Source organism: Homo sapiens, chromosome 4, assembly GCF_000001405.40.
Source record: "Homo sapiens chromosome 4, GRCh38.p14 Primary Assembly".
NCBI classification, from domain to species: Eukaryota; Metazoa; Chordata; class Mammalia; order Primates; family Hominidae; genus Homo; species Homo sapiens.
Window position 1 is genome coordinate 42,018,862 of NC_000004.12, and position 26,239 is coordinate 42,045,100.

The window sequence follows — 26,239 nt, forward strand, 5'->3', positions numbered from 1 at the left end:
TATCATTATCATCCTCACCTTCATCATTAATAACCTGGGCCAGGGTTTTTTAGCTATTTGGAAGAAATTTTTTTAAAAATTTTTTAAAAATTTAAAAGGCGGTTTAGAGACATGAAACTCACGCAAAAAAAAAATCTGTATTTCCTTATATTTTTTTTCAGATAAGGTTTTGATTTTTTAATTGAACTTTATTTTTCAAATATTCTTATTACATAATATTTGTGCATTTAATGTAAGTATGTATTATTTTAGGAATCTTTTTACCCACTGTAGTGATAGGTAATCTTAGGCTGAATTTGCTCTTTCAACTTGGAAGTAGAACAGAAAATTGTGAAATAATAAATATGAGAATAGAACATGAAGTGAATAGATGACAATTCGAAATAGAACACATAAGTTTGTTATTTTGCTCTTGCACTTCAGGTATTTGCTTATTTATCTCTATCATATGACCAAAAGTCTCACCTTATAATGATTTATTAACATAGACCAATGTTCTGTAATTTTTAACTCACAGACTATAATTGATGCCAAATTGGTATTGGTATTGGTGTCGCTGGCCTTTTTATGAGCAGTTTGATACTTGACAATAGAAAAACAATTTATTAGAAGGCAATATTTAACCTATAATCTATAATAATTTTTTTTGTAATTTTTAACTGATGAAATTATTCTGTACTTTTCTTCAGTTTTATTACATTATGTGAAATGGTCTAGTGGCTTTAAACTTTTTTGACTGTAACCCACATAAGAAATACTAATTAGCAACTAGTATACACATAGATTAGTATATGTAAATGAAACAAAGGTTTTCACAAAAAAATAATTATATGTAGTAGTCTTTGATTACTTTATATTTCTACTTTGTATGAAATGCTGATTTCACCTCACAGTTTGAAAAGCACTCAACTACTCTGTTATTTTATTTATTTATTTATTTATTATTTTTTTTGGACAGAGTCTGACTTTGTAGCCCAGGCTGGAGTGCAGTGGCATGATCTGGCTCACTGCAACCTCTGCCTCCCAAGTTCAAGTGGTTCTCATGCCTCAGCCTCCTGAGAAGCTGGGATTACAGGCACCCACCACCACACCTGGCCAATTTTTTGTATTTTTTTTTTAGTAGAGACAGGGTTTCACCATGTTGGCCAGGCTGGTCTCAAACTCTTGACCTCAAGTGATCCACCTGCCTTGGCCTCCCAATACTCTGTAATTTTTTATCAAAACTTCAGTTCATTTTCATTTAGACCCTAAGCAATTTAAATTATACCAATATGATTTAGACAGACCAGTAATACCTGTTCAAGGTGTTCATTAGACAAAGGTTGACATTTTGGGATCAGTTATAGATGACATATAGAGACAAAAGCTAGATGGCTACAAATGCAATTTCATCCTATTCTGCACTTGGATAATTTTTTCTCTGATGTCATTCAGTGAAAAAGATCAGTTTTCTGTGAAATTCATTAGTGAAGCCTCTTAAGTATCAGCCTATATTCATCTTCACATGTGACTTTCAATGTGCATATTTATTATGTTTTCCTGTTTTTTGTTTAGTTAAAGCAGTCCTTAAGAAAAGGGAGTATGGCTCAAAGTACACTCAGAATAATTTCATCACTGGAGTCAGAGCGATAAATGAGTTCTGCCTCAAATCCAGGTAATTTTTTTAAAAAATGTAGCCGTGTGTCATATCTAAATAATCTAAATAACTATTCCTTTCTTAGAGTGTGTTACCTGCTACCATCCATATATGGAAAATTTGCTACTGGCTCCTTAAAATGAAGAGATATTTTTATTCAGTCAAAAATGTTAAAAATTGTTAGCAAACTAAACTGAATCCTGCCCCAGCATTAGCAATTCTAGTCTTTCTTAGTTTCTTAAACCCACAATGGTAAATTCTTCAAAAGCTTTCCATCACACAAGAATCTTAGGAGTTAAATTGTTAAGTCATTGGTATGTGACAGAATTCTCAATAAGATTATTTGCGTATTTGTATGTTTGACTGTTTTGGTTTTTTGGCCAGCAGAGTTGAGTACTTAATTTAGTGAGTTAAATTTATGTTCATGCTCCCAACTGTGATTTCTGTTGAGTATAAATTATTTTTACTACTTTCCAATATCTGTTATTATTAATTTTCTCATATTTATATTTATTGAAATTATGTTAGTCACAGATTTAAACTTTTCTCCCTCCTTTGTGCACGAATTAGAGAAATCAGATGATCTATCTTTTTTTCAGTCTTCCTCATTGTCACAGCCACTTTGGTATATATCAAGAAATAGGTATTCCTATAATTTTTAACTTTTATAACTATTACATCAACAACCAATTATAATATTGATTTAGTTCTGACACAAATTTTGTGAATTAAGTGGATTAGGCATTGCTGTCTCCACTTTAATAGACCAGGATGAGCATAATACAAGATGTTAGTGATTGACCCAGCTCATTTAAGTGAGTCAGTGACAGGGAGAACTAGAATATATATCTTTTGAAAGCTGATCCATACATTTTTACTAACATGTGATGGTTATTGATGTTTTTTAAATCTAGGTTTAATTTCTAGAACTTGATAACATTACATAGTCACAGACTTTTTATTTATAGATTGTTTCATTGCTTTAACAAAATTTCCATAGGAAGATCCATGATTAAATATAGAATGACTATTTAGCAGTGACTTGATGAATATATAAGCCTTTCAGAATTTAAGAGAAAGGAAAATAAATAACATGTAATTGACACAAACTCTTTATGACATCATTCCTTTGAATGGATATTACCACTTAGTATTAATCTACATATAAACAAATAATGACTGTAAATTTTTAACTTAAATTCTTAAGTAGAGGGATGATATTCTAATCCATGTTCTTTCTTCTTTTCGTTTTTTTTGTTTGTTTTTTTTTGAGACAGGGTCTCACTCTGCTGCCCAGGCTGGAGTGCAGTGGCACAATCATGGCTTACTGCAGCCTCTACCTCCCTAGGCTCCAGTGATTCTTCCACCTCAGCCTCCTGAGTAACTGGGACTATGGCTGTGCGCCACCACGCCTGGCTAATTTTTTTTTTTTTTTTTTTTTTTTTTTTTGAGACGGAGTCTCGCTCTGTTGCCCAGGCCGGACTGCGGACTGCAGTGGCACAATCTCGGCTCACTGCAAGCTCCGCTTCCCGGGTTCACGCCATTCTCCTGCCTCAGCCTCCCGAGTAGCTGGGACTACAGGCGCCCGCCACCACGCCCGGCTAATTTTTGTATTTTTAGTAGAGACAGGGTTTTGCAGGTTGCACAGTCTAGTCTCGAACTCCTGACATCAAGTGATCCACCCACCTCAGCCTCCCAAAGTGCTGGGATTACAGGTGTGAGCTACCGCACCTTGCTTATTTTTCACTTTTTTTTTTTTTTGCTTTATCTCCTAGGCCGAAGTACAGTGGCGTGATCTTGGCTCACTGTAACCTCTGCCTCCCGGGTTCAAGTGATTCTTCTGCCTCAGCCTCCTGAGTAGCTGGGATTACAGGCAGGCACCACCAAACCCAGCTAATTTTTGTATTTTTTTTTAGTAGAGACGGGGTTTCACCATGTTGACCAGGCTGGTCTCGAACTCCTGACCACCCACCTCGGCCTCTCAAAGCGCTGGGAGTGAGCCACCACGCATTACCTAACTTTTCACTTTTTTCCCCATATATTAGAGATGGCAGTGGTGTGCCCATAGCAGATACAAATACAAGTACTGGTGAGGGAAGTGAATCTCTACATATTATATTGTGGTGTCTACACTGAGCATCAAGAGTAATTTTTTTTCACTGTCTCTATTTTTTGTATACAAAATGTCATCTTTAAACTGATCTTTAAAAGCCATTCACATCAATATTTCTCTAAGATGGGGATCAGTGTTGTTGCTTTTATCTGCCCTTAGTAATCCTCTTTAAGTATATAAACTATATGCACTTTGTCTGAATAAATTCAACATGTTTCTTTCTCTAGTGATCTAGAACAACTTCGAAAAATCAGACGACGAAGTCCCCATGAAGATACTGAGTCTTTTACTGTATACTTGAGATCAGATGTGGAAGCAAAGTAAGAACATAGTTCTTTCAGAATAAAAGTGCAAACCAAATTTTGGATTAATAAAAATACATTTTAGACAGAGTCAGAATTTTTTAAATGACTTTTTAAAAACAATATTTTTGTATTTGCAAATCTGTTTATTTGTGAGTTACTAATATGTACTCCTTAACTAAATATATGTCATAATGTGTAAGAAAATTTGCTGTTGAATTTACTCTAGTTGTTTAGATTTCATTTGGAAAAGTTCCTAAGTCCTTTATGTTTCTCCAAAAGCACCTTACACTTTGTTGTAAGATTCTCATTAGAGAATTTAGATTTAAATGTGATGTCAATAAAGTCATTAAAATTGTTCATTGTGGTGACCATGTGTGTATGCACAGATCTTTGGAAGTTTGGGGAAGCCCTGAAGCTCTTGCCAGAGAGAAAAAATTGCGTAAGGAAGCAGAAATAGAATACAGAGAAAGTAAGTATATTCAATTTAAAGTCAAGTTAATTGAAAAATAACTTGTAGATGAGAACTGTATCTGTAAGAACTCTCTAGTGCTAGCATACCTGTTGGCCTAGGCTCTGTTGCTTCCAGCAAATGCTAGTTTCCGTTTTGGGATTCAATTATTTCACAAAAACAGGAACTGTATTTTTGTTTTCTCCTGTATAGCTTTTTGAAGATGATGAGAGGAAGAGAAGCTACAGTTTATCATTTTTATAAGACATATAACTATCAAAACTTATCTGATTTAAAGATTATACTTGTTATAAAAGTGATAGAATAGGAAGTAATTGCTGTATTAGTCTGTTTTCACACTGCTATAAAGATACTACCCAAGACTGGGTAGTTTATAAACAAAGGAGATTTAACTGACTCACAGTTCCGCATGGCTGGAGAGGCCTCAGGAAGCATACAATCATGGCGCAAGGGGAAGCAGGCGCATCTTAACATGGTGTCAGGCGAGAGACAGCGTGTGTGTAGGAGGAACTGTCAAACACTTATAAAACCATCAGATCTCGAGAACTCAGTATCATGAGAACAGTATGGGGGAGACCATCCCCATGATCCAGTCACCTCCCACCATGGCCTGTCCTCGGCACATGGGGATTATGGCTATTATAATTCGAGATGAGATTTGGGTGGGGACACAGAGCCAAATCATATCAATTACTTTTTTACAGAAGGGTCTATTAACTCAGCTACATTAATTAATTCAGCAGATATTTATCCAATACCCGCTATGAACAAGAAGCTGTGCTTGGTGTTTGAAATGTATATGCAAGTAAGACTCTTAGGAGCCAGGTGTGGTGGCACATGTCTATAGTCCCAGCTACTTGCCTGTAATCCCAGCTACTCAGGAGGCTGAGGTGGGAGGATCACTTGAGCCCAGGAGTTTGAGACCACCCTGGGCAACATAGACATAAATGGGGTGATACCATACATATTGTACATCTTGCTCTTTATAGATAGTGGTATAATCATAACCGTTTTCCATATCTACATATAGAAATCTACCTCATTCTTTTTAACAGTTGTATAGTACCCCATTGTATGGATGTAGCAAGATTTATGTTCTTCAGTTTTTCACTGTTAGAAAGAATACATCAATAAATATTTTTATTTTTTTAACGTGAGATAATTGTGAATATTTACATAGGATTGAGTGTTAATAATACAATTTTAGGATCAAATGGCATAGGCATTTAAAAATTTGATAGATCCTAAAGAATTACTCTCTGAAGGAAATATGGTACCAATTTACATTTACAATCACAGTGTATGAGGGAGACTATTTTTTCATACCCTTGCCCATGCTGGATATTAACAAGATTTTAACTTTTTTGTGTATTTGATGGGCAACAGATGGTACCTCGTTTAATTTTGAATATCTCTGACTACTACTGAGGTTATCTTCTATGTATAGTGGTTTTTCTTAGTTCTTCTGTAATAATTTTTATATGTTTTGTTCACTTTTCTATTAGATTGTGTGTCTCTTAAAATTGATTTAAATAAGTTTTTGGTGGATTTTAACCAAAATCTAACCAAGTTAGTTTCATATGTTCTAAATATTTTCTAACAGTCTATCTTGAAATTTGGTTTCTCCTCTTTTTAGTAGGGAAATTTCAAACATATTCAGAAGTGCAGAGAAAAACATAATAACCTTTTAATGCCCATCATCTGGCTTTACAGCTACCAACAACATGGCCAGCCTTGTTTAATGTATATCCCTCTCACTAACCTTCACTCTACTGGATTACTTTGAAACCAGGTCCAGACATTATATCATTTTATTTATAAATATTCCAGTATATATTAAAAGGTCAGGATGTTTGTTTTAGTCAGTTCATGTGATGGTGATGGTTGAACTGTTTTAGAAAAGTTAACTATCCATTGCCTGTAGTAAGCTGTCAGTCTTAGTAATCCTCTCATTTGCCCTTTGGTTGAAGGTCTAGGATGTTCTCAAATAGCTTTAATTCTGACAAAGAAAGTGATTGACCTTCTGTTGATGATTCCTTTTCTTGACAAAACTGAAAATAGTATGTCTCTTTTCAGCTAACCTAGTCAGGAGGAATAAGGAGTATATTTGTGTGACCTGGAATATATAATATTAAATCATCTAGTTGTTGAATAAGTATAGTTTTCCTTGTAAAATCCAAGTTCTTTAAATCATTGGTTTGGCATTTTCAAAAGTTTGAAGGAGACAGTGAATCCTAGTATCAAAGGATTTTTGGCCTCAGAAAAAGTTGTTGATTATTTTTATTTTATTTTATTTTTCGAGACAGAGTCTTGCTGTGTCACCCAGGCTGGAGTGCAGTGGCGCAATCTCAGCTCACTGTAAGCTCTGCCTTCCGGGTTCATGCCATTCTCCTGCCTCAGCCTCCCAAGTAGCTAGGACTACAGGCACCCGCCACCGCGCCCAACTAATTTTTTGTATTTTTAGTAGAGACAGGGTTTCACCGTGGTCTCGATCTCCTGACCTCGTCATCCGCCCACCTCAGCCTCCCAAAGTGCTGGGATTACAGGCGTGAGCCACCGCACCTGGCGATTATCTGTTTTTTTTTAAGAGATGAGGTCTCACTATGTTGCCCAGGCTGGAATACAGTGGCTATTCTCAGGTGCAATCATAGTGAATTATAGCCTTGAACTCCTGGGCTCAAGTGATCCTCCTGCCTCAGCTTCCTGAGTAGCCAGGACTACAGGTGTGTGCCACCGTGTCTAGCTGACAATCCACAGATATTATAAAGAGGACTGCACTTAAATTAACAGAAGTGAAGTATTTACTTTCAATGGAAGAAATACATACTGGGGACAGATAGTCCTGGAAATTCTGGTGTACTATTCAGTTAATGGTTTCCATTGAGTTTCTTTATAGGTAATACAGGTACTAACACAGGATGCAATCAGATAGGGCATATTCCATTGGGGAATTAGATATTGCCAGTGCAGTTATATAGTTCTTTTACTCTTGGGCACTTATATATGGTAATGTATCAGGATTAAAGTAGAGATCGATGTACTAGTATTTATGAAAAATGTATACATATTTTTCTTTGATAATCAGGCTGACTTTATTGTTATCTGTTAAACGACTAACAGATTTTATTAAGCATCGTGAGGTTTCTCAGAAGAATATCATTGCTGCTATTCCCTTTCTGGTTTGATAGAACAATTTATTTTTTAGTGTTCCTACTTCTTATCAATGACACTGATTTTTATTAGTATTAGAAAGGGACTGCACTTGCTTAGGGTTTGAGAAGTTAATAAATTTTGCCTTGTATGGCTGTTAAAAGCCCTAAGTTTGTTCCTTTTTTTTTTTCTTTTCATCTTCTCTTTTGGTTTCTTGACAGTGCATTGCAATTTAGTTTTTCCAACGTGAACTAACTGCCAGTTCATTTTAATCTTTCTTACCACCCTATTTTTAATTTAAGGCCCTTTAACCAAAGAGAGCATAAAGGGTCCCTTGGCATTCTACATCAGGGTCAGTGTCCACAAATTGTTTATTTCTAGAAGTCTAATTCTAAATTTACCTATTAATTCTGTGGGGTTTTTTTTGTTTATAGTTTTGGATCTTAGTGTAATCAATTTTAATAGAGGATGGCTTCCTGGATAGCTTACAACAACCTATGTCCCTGGCTCTTAATAAATAACTTTTGCCGGTGTTACGGCATCTGTCTTCAGTAGCCAGAGTTGGCTAACTATGGCCCGTGGAACAAATTGGTCTGCTGCCTGTTTTTGTATAGTTTATAAGCCAAGAGTGGTTTTCATATTTTTAATGACTGACAAAAAAGCAAAAGAGTAACAATATTTTGTGACAGATGAAAATTAAATGAAATTTAAATTTCAGAGTCCACAAATAAAATTTTATTGGGACGTAGCCATGATCTTTTATTTACATATTGTCTGTGGCTGCCTTTGCACTACCAACAGCAGAGTTGAGTAGCTCCGACAGAGACTGCGTGTGGTGCTCCTGTCACTTTGCACTGCTACTCAGTTACAATTCAGTAACAGTTATAATTCAACAGTATTTCAAATGTCATAGGTATCCTTGTACATGACCTTTTTTTTTTTTAGTATGAGTGCATACCTGTCTGGTGAGTAAGAAAAGTAGACATCTAGTGTTGTGCTTTTAAGTCACAGTTGAGCATGGATTATTTTTTATTGAATTAGATGGCAAAGTACTGTGTCTACTATGCAGTGACACCATAGCTGAGTTAAAGGAATACAATATATGTTGACATTACTAGATTAATCAATCATCACAGTATTCCCAACTCACAGGAGTGTAACAATCAGAAAAACTAGAGAATTTAAGATGGAATATATTACAGCAGAATTTGTTCACAAAAATAGAAAATGAAAATGAGGCTGCAACCAAAGTTTGGTTTCTGAGTGGCTTATTAGTCAAGCAAAGAAAGTGGGTTTCTAATGGCAAGTAAATTAAGTCCTGTTTAATTTAAGCAGCTGAAGAAATGTATCCAGGACTAGTAGTCTTTAGGCAAGACTAGTTGCTTCAAGAGTTGAGGACACTGAGGACAGACATCAGTAGTCAATTAAAAAGCAAGGCAAATTATTTTGAATGATGTTCCTTGGCTCTTGATAAGTTGACCTGTGTACCAATACTATTTGAGGAGTGAGTGCTGAGTTTGAAGAGACTGGAGAATTACCCTTTGTGAATAGTGTATGTGGAGCAACCACAGGCAAGAATTTATTTTATTTTATTTTATTTTTGAGACGGAGTCTCACTCTGTCACCAGGCTGGAGTGCAGTGGCATGATCTCAGCACACTGCAACCTCCGCCTCCTGGGTTCAAGTGATTCTCCTGCCTCAGCCTCCCGAGTAGTTGGGATTACAGGTGCGTGCTACCATGCCCGGCTAATTTTTTTTGTATTTTTAGTAGAGATGGGGTTTCACCATGTTAGCCAGGATGGTCTCCATCTCCTGATCTTGTGATCCTCCCTCCTTGTCCTCTCAAAGTGCTGGGATTATAGGCATGAGCCACTGCGCCCAGCCACGTGAGAATATTTTCAAAGAAGATGTGAAAATACTAATTCAGTAAACCTGATGTGGAATCTGCTAAGATGTCTTATATAGATGATGGTGGTAAAAATACATGTGGAGCAGAAAAAGCCTTAGTTGGACAAATTTATAAAGTTTGTGAAAACATAAGATATTTAAAGCCTTTTCATCAGTAGATACTTCCCAGAAAATATTTGTCATGAGTAGGAACTTTGTGGAAAATGCTTAAATCTTGTTTGCTGTTGAACCAATAGTATCACCTTTGAACTTGTGGACTTAACCACTGAAAGAAATAGAAGCTGATAATCCTGACTTGTCCTTCTACACTGCATTTCAGTGGTTTAGCAGTTTTACTGCCATTTTTTGAGCTCAGGATTGAAAAATTCAAAATGGAAATTTTTCTGAATAAGAAGACCCACCTGTCAACCACTATTATCAAACACTGAGTGGCTTAGAAAATTAGGTTTTGCTGCAGACGTTATTTTTCTTAATGCATTCAGTGTAAAATTACAGGGGAAAACAGTGCTTAAATACAAAACTTACTCTGCTGTGAAGTCATTTCAACAGTAGATACATTATTTGAATCAAAGTAATGTCAGTCAGCTTTATGTACTTCCCATGCTGTTAAAAGTTTAACACAAGCACTCAGATCCGCAGTGGCAGTGGTGTGTCCTGTCTGCGGAGAGCCAGGCCAGAGACAATGAGCAACACCTCAGAGAACACGAGGGCGTGCCCCGAAGCCACCCACCCTTCCGACTGCGGCAGCTGCTGACCCGCTGTTGCCATGACCTGCAGGAAAGCCAATGAGGAGGGCAGTTGGAAGAAATTCTTCTGGAACTCAGAGAAGAAGGAGTTTTTAGGCAGGACTGGTGGCAGTTGGTTTAAGATCATTCTATTCTACATAATATTTTATGGCTGCCTGACTGGCATCTTCATCGGAATGATCCAAGTGGTGCTGCTCACCATCAGTGAATTTAAACCCACATATCAGAACCACATATCAGGACCCCCACCAGGATTAACACAGATTTCTCAGATCCAGCAGACTGAAATTGCCTTTCATCCTAATGATCCCAAGCACTGTGAGGCATATGTGCTGAACGTAGTTAGGTTCCTGGAAAAGTACAAAGATTCAGCCCAGAAGGATGACATGATTTTTGAAAATTGTGACAATGTGCCCAGTGAACCCAAAGAACGAGGAGACTTTAATCAAGAATGAGGTGAGCGAAAGTCTGCAGATTCAAGCTTGAGTGGCTGGGAAATTGCTCTGGATTAAATGACAAAACTTACAGCTACGAAGAGGGCAAACCACATGTTATTATAAAGCTCAAGTGAGTTCTAGGCTTCAAACCTAAGTCTCCCGAGAATGAGTCCTTGGAGACTTACCCAGTGATGAAGTATAACGCATCTGTGTTTCCTGTTCAGTGCACTGGCTAGCAAGATGAAGATAAGGATAAAAATAGAAATGTGGAGTATTTTGGACTGGGCACCTACCTTGGTTTTCCTCTGCAGAATTATCCCTACTATGGCAAACTCCTGCAGCCCAAATACCTGCAGCCTCTGCTTGTTGTACAGTTCACCAACCTTACCATGGACACTGAAATTCGCCTAGTGTAAAGCAGATGGTGAGAACATTGGGCACAGTGAGAAAGATGGTTTTCAGGGATCCTTTGATGTAAAAATTGAAGTTAAGAGCTGATCACAAGCACAAATCTTTCCCGCTAGCCATTTAATAAGTTTAAAAAAAGATACAAAAGCCTGTTAGTCTTGAACAAACTGTCATATGTATGGGACCTACACTTAAAGCATAATCTATATGCTTTACACTTGCTTTCTGCATTTAATTGGTTAGAATGTAATTAATGTAAACTAAAGTGTAGCAATAGCAACAAAATATTCTACTGTAAATGACAAAAGAAAAATTGAGCCTTGGGATGTGCTCATTTTTACTGTAAATTATGATTCCATAAGTGACTTGTAAGCAGTGTTTCTGGCCCCTAAGTATTGCCTCCTATATTTTATTTAATGTATAGTACTATAGGTGCATACTCTGGTCCTTTTTCAAGCCATGTGTTATCGTATCTGTTTTGTACTTTATGTGAGCAGGTTTTGCTGTCCAAGGTGTAAATATTCAATGGGAATGAAACTGGCATGGTCTTTTTTTTTTTTTTTTTTGGGCTCTTTCAAAGATAATGGCCCATCAATGAGCATCTTTAACATATTCTATAGTCTTTTCCTGTGGTGTTAGGTCTTACTTTATTATTATTTTTTCTCCTGGGAATGGGACAGGGATTTGTCATGGGGGAACTGCCCTTTAAATTTTAAGTGACACTACAGAAAAACACAAAAAGGTGATGGGTTGTGTTGTGCTTGTTTTGAATGCTGTCTTGACATCTCTTCCCTTGTCCTCTAGTATGTTCTAAAGCTGTGTCTGAGATCTGGATTTGCCCATCACTTTGGCTAGTGACAGGCCTAATAAATTTGCTTTGTACATTTTCTTTTACTTTCCTTTTTTCCTTTCTGGGGGCATCATGCTGATGGTGTGTCTTTATGAGTGTTTTAACCATTTTCATGGTGGAAGAATTTTTTATTTATGCAGTTGTACAGTTTTATTTTTTTCTGCAAGAAAAAGTGTAGTGTATGAAATAAACCACAGTCACTTGTTTGAAAATAAATCTTTATTTTGAACTTTATACAAAGCAATGCAGTACTCCATAGACTGGTGTAAAATGTTTTCTACTATGCAAAGTCCATGTTCTAATAATTGCCAGGAGTACAGTGCTCTTGTTGATCATGTATTCAGTCAAGTTAAAACAATGGACAATAAAAGAATGAATACATGAAAAAAAAAAAACAGAAGACATCTGCAGCAGATATATTTTCCAAGCCCAACCTATAGTTCCAGAAGTGTTTTTCAGATTTCCATGCAAGTGCAGAGGAAATTTACATATTTCAAAATCCATTAAATAGTGCAGTTGAGCAGCTTTCTCCTGACTTCAATTGGAAGTGATTAGTCGTCAATGTAAGAAGATGCTAAAAGGCAAATATCAACAAGAATTTCATAGAATTCTATAAATGCTTTCAAAGCAATGAATATAGTTATTTAAAATTATGTTTATAGATTTATATCAGCATTTGGCAGTACCTATCTATAAGATTTTGAATATGAAATAGTAACATATCAGATCATCATCAATAGATGAACATTTACAATTAATTTTGATGATAAGGAATACTAACTGAATCCCAATTAAGTGAAATATTTTATCCTATCCCCCCAAAAAGAATTCTGTTCTTCTCATTAGTAGACCTGTATTACAAAGAATTGCACTCACATATTTTTATTATATTTTAAATTTTGTCAAAAAATTTCATGGAAATTTGTAGTTATTTCTTGCTATACCTTCATCATGTCCTTTATATTACCTCTTGGCCTCCAAAGCATGAAATATTTGCTATCTAGCTGTTTAGTCAGTTCTCGTATTGCTATAAAGAAATACCTGAGACTGGGTGATTTATAAAGAAAAGAGGTTTAATTAGCTCACAGTTCTGCAGGCTGTATAGAAAGCATAGAAGCTTCTGGGGAGCCTCAGGAAGCTTCCAGTCTTGGCGGAAGGCAAAGATGGAACAGGTATCTTACATAGCAGGAGCAAGAGAGAGATGGGGGAGGTGCCTCACACTTTTAAATGACCAGATCTCATGAGAACGAACTCACCAGTCGTGAGGACAGTACCAAGAGGGATATTGCTAAATCATTCATGAGAATTCACCCCCATGACCCAGTTACCCCCCCACCAGGCCCCACCTCCAACAATTGGATTTCAATTTGACATGAGATTTGGATGGGGACACAGGTCCAAACCATGTCACCAGCCCTCTTCGAAAAAAGTTTGCCAACCCTATTTCAATGGTTTCGTTAGGATTCCACCCCATTTTATTTATTTTTGTTATTAGTAACCTGGAAAGAAGCTATGAAACTGGAAGGATGTAACTAGAAGCCTTGGAGTATAAATATTTAGGAGGATTCTAAATTATTTGACTATCTCAGTTCTGCACAGGACCAAGGCTTAGAAATGACAATATTTCCTTCTCCAGATGAGTTGGCAAAATTTCAAAGTGGAAATTGTGAGACAATTATGGTCAATAACCCAGGAAGAAAAGGGATGGAGGGAGTTTCTTGAGAGTATAGGAGTTCATTACCAGGAGGGGAGCAGTGGGATAGGAAGATCAAGGAAGAGGGAAGAGGGAGAAGAAGATATGCAAGGAAAGAACAAAGTAGCAGTGCTCAAACTGTCCTAATGTTGGTCAATGGAAGCACCTCAGTTGGCTCCTAAGTCCCTTTGTCATAACTCTAGTATCATGGCGTCCTTACTTTCAGGAATAATATGTTTCAGATTCATCTTGTACGTTTCCTGTCCTGGGTTGGTAATCAACTATTTCTAAAAGGAGCCACTTTTCTTTTTACTGGAAAATAAAATCAAGTTAAAGTAATTACATACTTGATTTATTCTATGTCTCTACACACATAGAGAATAAAGTGTAGTTTCAAATAGCAGTATTAATACTAACAATGTAATTTAAGATTTCTTTGCTTTTCTTTGTATCTTTAGTATATATATCCCACTAGAGATGTATAGTTCAATTTCTGTGTGTTAAAGTCACTTAAAATTTTTCTATATAGAAATATCATCAGTAGATATACAGTTAGGCTCATTTGTTTCATTTTGCTTCTGATTTTTAAAAATAATTTTGTTTTTATTTTATAATTGCCTAAAAATTTACATGATTTCTTAGTCAAACCTACAGAACAGATATTTCAGAGAACTCTAGCTTCCATCTCTGTCCTTTCCACTCTAAGTCCTCTCTCTTGTATAAGTAACTGTTTTAAAGTTTTTGGGTTTTTTTTTTAATACTTAAAATATAAGAAAATAAAGCCAGGCTCCATGGCTCATGCCTATAATCCCGGGACTTTGGGAGGCTGAGGTGGGAGGATCACTTGAGACCAGGAGTTTGAGACCAGCCTGGGCAACATTAGCGAGACCATTTTCCTTACCAAAAATTTAAAAATAAAAATAATATTTTTTAAAAAAACGTACACATTTGTATTAAACGCCATACCCTTCATAAATAAGGCATACTATACATACTTTCTGGTCTTGCTTTTTTTTTGAGGCGGAGTCTCGCTCTGTGGCCCAGGCTGGAGTGCAGTGGCACGATCTTGGCTCACTGCAACCTCCGCCTCCTGGGTTCAAGCAATTCTCCTGCCTCAACTTCTCAAGTAGCTGGGACTATAGGCACATGCCACCATGCCTGGCTAATTTTTTGTATTTTTAGTAGAGACGGGGTTTCACCATGTTAGCCAGGATGGTCTCGATGATCTGACCTTGTGATCCACCCGCCTTGGCCTCCCAAAGTGCTGGGATTACAGGCATGAGCCACCGTGCCCGGCTGCTCTTGCTTTTTTTACTTAACTCTGTCATGAGGACTATGCTATAGCGGTAAATAGAGACATTTCTTCATTTATTTTATAATACTCTGTTTTTTGATATACCGTAATGTATTCAATCATTCCCCCATAGGACGTTTCTAGTGTTTTGCTATTAAAACGATACCATGAGAAGCCTTGTAAATAAAAGTTAAAAGAATTTTTTGTAATACAAAAATTTGAGAAAACACAGTAATAGAAAAATACTCTCTCATATTTTTCAACTTTGAGGTAAAAATGAAGGACTTGTTTTTGTATCAGGCTTAGTTAACTTTTATAAAGGTAATATTGAGAAAAGAATCTTACCAAACTGTCTTTATCTCATTGCAAATCCAGATTTTCCTGCCTCCTTTTTTATTGTAAAAAACACATAGCCCAAAATTTACCATCTTAACCATTTTTAAAGGTACAGTTCATAAGTGTGTAAGTATATTCACATTGTTGTGAAACAGATCTTCAGAGGTTTTTCATATTGCAAAACTGAAACACTATACCCATTAAATAACTACCCCCCATTTCCCTGCCACCCCCCGGTCCCTGGCAACCACCATTCTGCTTTTTGTTTCTATTAATTTGAATACTTTAGATACCTCATATAAGTGGAGTCATACAGTGTATGTCCTTTTGAGATGGGCTTATTTCACTTAGCATAGTGTCGTCAAGGTTTATCCATGTTGTTGCATGTGACAGGATTTCCTTTTTCAAGGCTAAATAATACTCCATCATCATATGTATATACCACATTTTGTTTATCCATTCATTCATCCATCCATGGACATTTGGGTTGCTTCACCTCTTGACTGTTGTGAGTACTGCTGCTATGAACATGGGCATGTAAATAGCTTTTTGAGGCCCCACTTGCTATTCTTTGGACGTATGTCCAGAAGTAGGATTGCTGGATTATATGGTAATTCTATGTTACAGTTTTTTTTAGGAACCTTCATATTTTTTTCCATAACAATTGCACCATTTTACATTCCTACCATCAGTGCAAAAAGGTTCCAGTTTTGACACATTGCCAATCCTTGTTATTTTCTGTTTCTTGTTTTTTTAATAGTAGCCATCCTAATGGATGTGAGGTGATATCTCATTGTGGTTTTCATATGTATTTCTCTGATGATTAGTGATGTTGAGTATCTTTCCATATGCTTGTTGGTGGTTTCTATATAATCTTTGGAGAAATGTCTATTGAAATCCTCTCCCCATTTTTTAATCAGTTTACAAATCCAAATTTTTTATAACTTAATATTTTTGCTGTTAGCTAGTAGCGCATATTTAACATAGTCCTGAAGAGAATATCATGTTCATCTAAACTGTGACTGGTAAGAATATCTATGACCTAAATTTATTTTGTTATTCTTACAGGGCTATTTAGAAACCAAAAAATATTAAGAGAATACAGAGATTTCTTGGGAAATACCAAGGTATGGATATCTTTGTAATAATGTGTGTGTTTGTGTTGCACAGCAAAATTCTAATATCAGTCCATTGTAAAATTCTAGCATGTCTGTGATCTCAATCTAAGATTTTCTTGAGTACATTGTAGTTCACTGAATTATAGTCAATTCATTCATTTCCGTCTGATTTTCCTTTTTTTTTTTTTTTGAGACAGAGTTTTGCTCTTGTTGCCCAGGCTGGAGTGCAGTAGTGTAATCTCGGCTCACTGCAATCTCCGCCTCCCGGGTTTGAGCAATTCTCCTGCCTCAGCCTCCCGAGCAGCTGGGACCACAGGCATGCCACCATGCCCAGTTAATTTTTGTGTTTTTAGTAGAGACAGAGTTTCACCATGTTGGCTAGGTGGGTCTTGAACTCCTGACCTCAGGTGATGCGCCTGCCTCGGCCTCCCAAAGTGTTGGGATTACAAGCGTGCCCGGCCTGATTTTCTTGAAATTTAAAACATTTGTACATAAGTTTTCTTTAAAGTCATAACCATGTTATGAACCTTAAGCATGTAGATATAGATGAGGAAGACTTTATTTTCTTAGGTTTTAGTGAGATTTATATCCGTCATACACACTCTTAATTTTCTTTAGCCTCTCTCTTTCTGCTCCTAACTCTGGTTCAACATTCAGACTGCCAACTCTGTGCTTGTATCCAAGAAGCTTAGCCCTTGGAGAAGAAAATTACACAGCCAGTGTGATTGTTCTTTCTTCCTTATATGACTATACAAAATCAATGGATACTCAATATTATTTGACAGTCTTACTAAACTTCCAGAGTATGTTCACCTTCCCACTCTTTGAAATAGCTATTGCATATCTTTTTCTTTCTTGCCAACAGCCTCACTCTTTACTCTTCAGCTGTTGACTTTGCTTCATATTTTATTGAAAAAATAGGTGTAATTTCATAAAAGTACCTCATCTTTTTCATCACCTCATCTTTTCATCACCAAATTTACTAACTCATCTACACATGTGACAAAATACTCTGCTTTCCTTCCTACTAGAAGGAAATTAATATTGGGACACATGTAGAAAGTTTGCCTCTACTGTTCTACCTCTTATTTTCTCCTGAACCTAATCCAATTGGGCTTTCAACCCCACCACCCCACTGAAATGACTTACCAAAGTCCCCAGCACCTTTAAGATGCCAAGCAGTCTGTGGCCAAGTTGACTTTCCATTTAAACTTGGCTGGGAGGAATCTCCTATCAAGAAGTTAATGTCATATTTGGATAAAAGGCTACCTATGCACATTTTCTTCTCTCTGGTGGCATTTGAGACATTGCACCCATTTTGCAAAGTTTAGACATTGGCAGTGATGATAATTTTAGCCAAATCTTATTTGATATGCTTTCCTTTTCCATTTATTATCTTCAAGACCTCTTAATTTCCATTTCCCCTTTGATCACTGCATTTCTGGCACCCCAGTACTGCCCTGAAGATGTGGACTCTCCTCTGGTAGAGCCTTCATATGTCTTATGAGCCAGCATTTTCACTCTCATGCCTCAAGGGCTATTGCCATTGCCTCTTGTGCTGGGATAACTTAGGCTGGTGAGACCTGCCTCCTGGGAAGATTCACTCCTCGCCTTCACATCTGTTTCACATGGAGAATCATCCTCACCAGATTTTCTAATAGTAGCTGTTGACTTATGAAATCTTTGTTACTTCAGAAGATTAATACTGGTCAACTTTTGAATATTCCATGTTTTGAAATGATTTTTTTTTGCTATTACAACGTTTTTTTGCTGGGACATTAGGATAAAACTAGTATTTCATTTCCCTCTACTGTACCCCTATTCCCTTTAGGAATGGTTGTTCTCTCACTGAAGATGGTTGCTTTCCTTCTCTAAAACATAGGGCTAATCCTGTTTGCAAAAATTAAATGCCTTCTTTTTTTTTTTTTTTTTTTTTTTTTTTTTTTTTTGTTATTTCTGACCCAGACACTTGTTTTTCCAATATATTCTTATCTCATGAGAACTCCAATAATGAGATATATGAAATCACAGTGTTCTGGGTCTGCTCCTCTGGTATTTAATTTCTTATATAATAATTTCCCCTTTAATACCTTTCTACTTTCCCATGCCTTCCCTTCTATTTCTAATTCATGGGTTTCTTGATATAGTACTTCAGAGAATTGGAAGTACCTTTATCTCTGCTTAATATATTTAACTCCACAATAGTATCACCTTGAAATGCACCAATAATGCTTTGAACAATTTATGCTCCTTTTCCTGGTAGTTCTCTCTGAAATCTATCCAAATTTTCTGCACTTGTCCCAATATTAAAGAACCTTGTTTATTGTGAATGTTCTCAAAGATATATAAAAATAGAAAAATAGATATTGGCTATCCAGTTTCATTAATTTCTAACATTTTGCTGTCCTGGTCTTCAAAAAGGGGCAGTTCTCCAATTGCTCTGATTATGGAATTTTTTAATATTTTATTTTATTTTATTTTTGAGACAGAGTATTGCTGTGTTGCCCACGATCTCAGCTCACTGCAACCTCCGCCTCCCGGGTTCAAGAGATTCTCATGCCTCAGCCTCCTGAGTAGCTGGGATTACGGGCACCCACTACCACAGCCGGCTGATTTTTTTGTATTTTAGTAGAGACGGGGTTTTACCATGTTGTCCACACTGGTCTCAAACTCCTGAGCTCAAGCAGTCTGCCCATCTTGGCCTCCCAAAGTGCTAGGATTACAAGCGTGAGCCACTGCGCCCGACCTGATTATGGAATTTTTGAGTAGCTTTTACAGGAAGCTTCCCAAGCAGGTTGTGGATCCTGGCTCCTTGTGATCTCTTGTTTTTCTAGATTTTTATTCTCTTGTTAGAGTTCCTTGGACCTTATCATTATTTCTAGTTTCTACCAACACATCTTCCCGTTTTCTACAGCCTTCTTTATTAGAGTGGTTTGGGCCGAGTGAATCTTTTTCCTTATTTTTCTTATTATTTCTTATTCTGATCTTAAAGATCTCATTTCCTTTCCCTGTTTTGCCCCTCCCATGAGTTCCCAAACCTTTCTTCTAAAGAAATCTTATTTTTCACCGTAAGCAGCATTCTATTGTTCCCATAATAATTTCATTGAGTTTTTTCTCTATTCATCCAAATAATACAATATATTCTTATTTTAATAAAACATACATTCTGTTTGTTATCAATAAACAGTATAATTCAGAAATCTAGACCCATAGTCAGAGTTTATGGCTTACAAATCGAAGTAAAAGTTGAGATCACATGGACAAGGTTTATCCCTGTGTAGTTCCTTCTCTTAGCTCTGAAGGCAGGTCAATACAGAATTTTGGGTGTCTGATTTCACACATTCTTAGAGCATATGAATTTCAGCACAGTGCATTTTTCTACTTTATTACTAGTTTTTATGTAGCCAGCTCAGATCCTTTCTGGAAGTAGGCAGGACATGAATTACAAGGAAACAAAACAAACAAGTTTCTGGAAAGAGACCCAGATATGCTTTCGGTTTTAATCTTTCCACTTTCTAAACAAGAACTTCTAGAGAAAAATAAGTAAATCTAATTCAGAAGTTTTGATAGAGGAAAATGTTCTGGTCTGTCAAAGCCACCAGTTACAGTGCTTCTCTGCAAAATTTTGGAGGTATTAAAAAAAGTTTTTGTTTTTTTACAGCCACGCTCCAGAACAGCATCAGTGTTTTTTAAGGGACCAGGAAAAGTGGTGATGGTTGCAATTTGCATGTAAGTACTGAAAAATAAGCTTTGTGAAATAGAATATATTCTTTTAAATATGTATATCCTTAAATATGTAAATTTATTACATGGTAGCTAGCTATAGAGTTTGAGGTTTATTTTGTTTTAGGAGGAAATTGAATAAGTCTTTATTATTGTCAGTAAAGTGGTGGGGAAAGAGCATGAATTCATATAGATAACCATGCTCATTCTCTGTATATTTTTGATGTAGTTAGATCTAAGAATAGTTGCTACCTGAAAATCCTTTCTTGTTTTTATTGGAGTTGATAGAAGTCTTTTTTAAAGAAGTTAGCTAAACCAACCTGGGTTACAGCTACTGAAGAATATCTTTGTGCTTATTATCTTTATTCCACTTATCTTGGAAGAACATAATTATTTGTTCTTGTTATTTTTGCCTCCTCTTTTTTTTTTTTTTTGAGACAGAGTCTTGCTCTGTCGCCAGGCTGGAGTGCAGTGGCTCAATCTCAGCTCACTGCAATCTCTGCCTCCCGGGTTCAAGCCATTCTCCTGCAACAGCCTCCCAAGTAGCTAGGATTATAGGTGCGCGCCATCATGCCCAGCTAATTTTTGTATTTTTAGTAGAGATGGGGTTTCACTACGTTGGCCAGGATGGTCTCAATCTCCTGACCTCGTGATCTGCCCACCTCGGCCTCCCAAAGTGCTGGGATTACAGGTGTGAGCCACTGAGCCCGGCCTTGCCTTCCCCTTTTTCCCTCTATCTTCTTGATTCCTATTGTTTTGTTCACCTTTTGTCTGTTTTTCTGACTAATCTATTTTAGGATGGATGAAATCATTCAATAATTCATTAGTTCTTTTATTCTTAAATATATATATGTAAAATATGTATCAGTGTGATAGGATATGAAAATATAAAGATATAATACATAATTCTTTAAGGATTGGAGGGACACTAAACTAGAGGAAGACATTTATAATACAGACAAGGAATAATGCTGTCATAACTACAATAGTGGTGGTACAGATAGACGTAGACAGTTTCAACTTCTTAGAAGGTATGTTCAAGGATAGTGACCAGGTTTCTGGCTGTACAATTGTGTAAATAATGTACCATTCACTGAGGAGAGTACTGGAAGGAGGAGCAGGGTGGGAGCAGAGAAAATGATGAGTTCATTTTTGAGCTGGTGGTATGTTTAGGGCACCCAGGTGGAGATAAGTCAACAGGGTTCTTTCCACCAGTAATACAGGGATAGTGATTATAGCTTTTCTCATTGGAGGGATGTATGTGTGAAAAGTGCTTAACATAGTACCTGCTCTAAGATATGTACTTAAGAAGTATTATTGTTAATATATATTGGTCTGAAGCTCAGGAGAGAAATCTGAGTTAGAGGTTTGATAGTTTTTAGTATATAGATGATAACTAAAGCCATAAAAGTAAAGATCACCTGAGGAATGTATGTATATATAGTATCAGGAATAAAAAGTCCTCAGGAAAAATTCCTTGAAGAATGTTAACATTAAGAAAAAGGTGGAGGCTTTGGGAGACCTCGTGATCCGAGGTCAGGAGATTGAGACCATCCTGGCTAACACGGTGAAACCCCGTCTCTACTAAAAATACAAAAATTAGCTGGGCGTAGTGGTGGGCGCCTGTAGTCCCAGCTACTTGAGAGGCTGAGGCAGGAGAATGGTGTGAACCCGGGAGGTGGAGCTTGCAGTGAGCCAAGATTGCGCCACTGCACTCCAGTCTGGGCGACAGAGCCAGACTCTGTCTCAAAAAAAAAAAAAAAGAAAAAGAAAAAGGTGGAGGAAAAAGTGCCTGCAGAGGAGATTGAGGAGGAGTAAGGAGAAAAGTAGAAAGAAAACCAGGAGTGTATTAGTCCATTTTCACGCTGCTGATAAAGACATACCCAAGACTGGGCAATTTACAAAAGAAAGAGGTTTAATTGGACTTACAGTTCCCGTGGCTAGGGAAGCCTCACAATCATGGTGGAAGGCAAGGAGGAGCAAGTTATGTCTTACATGGATGGCAGCAGGCAAATAGAGCTTGTGCAGGGTAACTCCCATTTTTAAAAACCATCACATCTCATGAGCTCATTCACTATCACAAGAACAACATGGGAAAGACCCACCCTCATGCTTCAGTCATCTCCCACTGCGTCCCTCCCAAAACATGTGGGAATTATAGGAGCTACAAGATGAGATTTTGTGGGAGACACAGAGCCAAACCATATCAAGGAGTGTCAAGAAAGCCAAGGGAAGAAGCGTTTGTTTTTTTTTTGTGAGACGGAATCTCACTCTGTCGCCAGGCTGGAGTGCAGTGGTGCAATCTCGGCTCACTGCAACCTCCGCCTCCCAGGTTCAAGCGATTCTCCTTGCCTCAGCCTCCTGAGTAGCTGGGACTACAGGCACACATGTTTTAAGGAAATAGCAGGCCTGGTACAGGCACACACCTGGAATCTCAGCACTTTGGGAGGCTGAAGCAGGAGGATTACTTGAGCTCAGGAATTTCAGACCACCTTGGGCAACATAGTGAGACCTTGTACCTACAAAAAAATTTTTTTAATTAGCTGGGCATGGTGGGTGATGTGCGCCTGTAGACCTACTCAGGAAGCTGAGGCAGGAGAATCATTTGAGCCCAGGAGTTTAAGGCTACAGTAAGCTGTGATTATACCACTGCACTCCAACGTGGGCAAGAACAAGACCCTGTCTTTAAAAAATAAATAGCCAGCTAGGGGGTGGCGGGCAAGATGGCTGGATAGGAACAGATCCTGTCTGCAGCTCCCAGTGAGATCCATGCAGAAGGTGGATAACTTCTGCATTTCCAGCTGAGGTACCTGGCTCATCTCATTGGGACTGGTCAGACAGTGGGTGCAGCCCATGGAGGGTGACCCGAAGCAGGGTGGGGCATTGCCTCACCGGGGTAGTGCAAGGGGTCGGGGAACTCCCTCCCCTAGCCAAGGGAAGCCATGAGGGACTGTGCTGTGAGGAACGGTGCATTCCAGCCCAGATACTACGCTTTTCCCATGGTCTTCACAACCCACAGACCAGGAGATTCCCTCGGGTGCCTACACCGCCAGGGCCTTGGGTTTCAAGCACAAAACTGGGCGGCCATTTGGGCAGACACCAAGCTAGCTAGACTAGTTTTTTTTCATACTCCAGTGGTGCCTCGAATGCCAGTGAGACAGAACCTTTTAATCCCTTGGAAAGGGGGCTGAAACCAGGGAGCTAAGTGGTCTAGCTCAGCAGATCCCACCTCCAGAGAGCCCAGAAAGCTAAGATCCACTGGCTTGAAATTCTGGCTGCCAGCACAGCTGTCTGAAGTTGACATGGGATGCTTGAGTTTGGTGTGTGTTGGGGAGTTGGGGGTTGGGGACCACCATTACTGAGGCTTGAGTAGGCAGTTTTCCCCTCACAGTGTAAACAAAGCCATCAGGAAGTTCGAACTGGACAGAACCCACCGTAGCTCAGCAAAGCCACTGTAGCCAGACTGCCTCTCTAGATTTCTTCTCTCTGGGCAGGGCATCTCTGAAAGAAAGGCCCAGCAGTCCCGGTCAGGGGCTTATAGATAAAACTCTCATCTCTCTGGGACAGAAAACTTGGGGGTAGGGGCGGCTGTGGGCGCAGCTTCAGCAGACTTAAACGTTCCTGTCTGCTGGCTCTGAAGAGAGCAGCGGATCTCCCAGCACAGCGCTCGAGGTCTGCTAAGGGACAGACTGCCTCCTCAAGTGGGTCCTTGACCCCCATGCCTCCTGATGGGGAGATACCTCCCAGCAGGGATCAACAGACACCTCATACAGGAGAGCTCCAGCTGACATCTGGCAGGTGCTCCTCTGGGATGAAGCTTCCAGAGGAAGGAACAGGCAGCAATGTTTGCTGTTCTGCAGCCCCTGCTGTTGATACCCAGGTAAACAGGGTCTGGAGTGGACCTCCAGCAAACTCCAGCAGACCTGCAGCAGAGAGGCCTGACTGTTAGAAAGAAAACTAACAAACAGAAAGGAATAGCATCAACATCAACAAAAAGGATGTCCACACAAAAACCCCATCCAAAAGTCACCAACATCAAAGACCAAAGGTAGATAAATCCATGAAGATGAGGAAAAACCAGTGCAAAAAGGCTGAAAATTCCAAAAACCAGAACACCTCTTCTCCTCCAAAGGATCACAACTCCTCGCCAGCAAGGGAACAAAACTGGACGGAGAATGAGTTTGACGAAGTAGGCTTCAGAAAGTGGGTAATAACAAACTCCTCCAAGCTAAAGGAGCATGTTCCAACCCAACGCAAGAAAGCTAAGAACCTTGAAAAAAGGTAAGAGAAATTGCTAACTAGAATAACCAGTTTAGAGAAGAACATAAATGACCTGATGGAGCTGAAAAACACAGCATGAGAACTTTGTGAAGCATACACAAGTATCAATAGCCAAATCAATCAAGTGGAAGAAAGGATATAAGAGATTGAAGATCAACTTAATGAAATAAAGCATAAAGGTAAGATTAGAGAAAAAAATGAAAAAGAATGAACAAAGCCTGCAAGAAAGATGGGACTATGTGAAAAGACCAAACCCACATTTGGTTGGTGTACCTGAAAGTGACTGGGAGAATGGAACCAAGTTGGAAAACACTCTTCAGGAGATTATCCAGGAGAACTTCCCCAACCTAGCAAGACAGGCTAATATTCAAATTCAGGAAATACAGAGAACACCACAAAGACAGTCCTCGAGAAGAGCAACCTCAAGTCACATAATCATCAGATTCACCAAGGTTGAAATGAAGGAAAAAATGTTAAGGGCAGCCAGAGAGAAAGGTCGGGTTACCCACAAAGGGAAGCCCACCAGACTAACAGCAGATCTCTCTGCAGAAACCCTACAAGCCAGAAGAGAGTGGGGGCCAATATTCAACATTCTTAAAGAAAAGAATTTTTAACCCAGAATTTCATATCCAGCCAAACTAAGCTTCATAAGCGAAGGAGAAGAAAAGACAAGCAAATATTGAGAGATTTTATAACCACCAGTCCTGCCTTACAAGAGCTCCTGAAGGAAGTACTAAATATGGAAAGGAAAAACTGGTACCAGCCACTGCAAAAACATACCAAATTGTAAAGACCATTGACACTATAAAGAAACTGCATCAACTAATGAGCAAAATAACCAACTAGCATCATAATGACAGGATCAGATTCACACATAACAATATTAACCTTAAATAGAAACAGGCTAAATGCCCCTGTTAAAAGACACAGACTGGCAAATTGGATAAAGAGTCAAGACCCATTGGTGTGCTGCATGCAGGAGACCCATCTGACGTGCAAAGACACACATAGGCTCAAAATAAAGGAATGGAGGAATATTTACCAAGTAAATGGAAAGCAAAAAAAAAAAAAAAAAAGCAGGGTTGCAATCCTAGTCTCTGACAAAAAAGATTTTAAACCGACAAAGATCAAAAAAGACAAAGGTCATTACATAGTGGTAAAGGGATCAATGCAACAAGAAGAGCTAACTGTCCTAAATATATATGCACCCAATAGAGGAGCACCCAGATTCATAAAGCAAGTTCTTAGAGACCTACAAAGAGACTTAGACTCCCACACAGGAATAGTGGGACACTTTAACCCCTCATTGTCAATATTAGACAGATCAACAAGACAGAAAATTAACAAGGATATTCAGGACTTGAACTCAGCTCTGGACCAAGCAGACTAATAGACATCTACAGAACTCTCAACCCCAAGTCAACAGAATTTACATTCTTCTCAGCACCCTGTCACTCTTATTCTAATATTGACCACATAATTGGATGTAAAACACTCCTCAGCAAATGCAGAAGAACAGAAATCAAAACAGTCTCTCAGACCACAGTGCAATCAAATGAGAACTCAAGATTAAGAAACTCACTCAAAACCGCGCAACTACATGGAAACTGAACAACCTGCTTCTGAGTGACTACTGGGTAAATAACTAAATTAAGGCAGAAATAAATAAGTTCCTTGACACCAATGAGAACAAAGACACAGTGTACCAGAATCTCTGGAACATAGCTAAAGCAGTGTTTAGAGGGAAATTTATAGCACTAAATACCCACAGG

General features: G+C 38.1%; 1 protein-coding gene and 1 pseudogene across 2 annotated transcripts in view; both read left to right on the forward strand.

The window, feature by feature from the left end:
- Window positions 1-26,239, forward strand: part of SLC30A9 (solute carrier family 30 member 9) — a 99,932-nt gene that overhangs the window by 28,332 nt on the left and 45,361 nt on the right. For both annotated transcript variants that reach the window (NM_006345.4, XM_047449525.1), the window contains exons 4-8: window positions 1,555-1,654; window positions 3,977-4,069; window positions 4,441-4,523; window positions 16,414-16,472; window positions 20,125-20,192. In NM_006345.4, the coding sequence (NP_006336.3) occupies window positions 1,555-1,654; window positions 3,977-4,069; window positions 4,441-4,523; window positions 16,414-16,472; window positions 20,125-20,192 (403 nt within the window). The remainder of the gene's footprint in view (window positions 1-1,554; window positions 1,655-3,976; window positions 4,070-4,440; window positions 4,524-16,413; window positions 16,473-20,124; window positions 20,193-26,239) is intronic.
- On the forward strand, window positions 10,207-12,403 carry ATP1B1P1 (ATPase Na+/K+ transporting subunit beta 1 pseudogene 1; annotated as a pseudogene).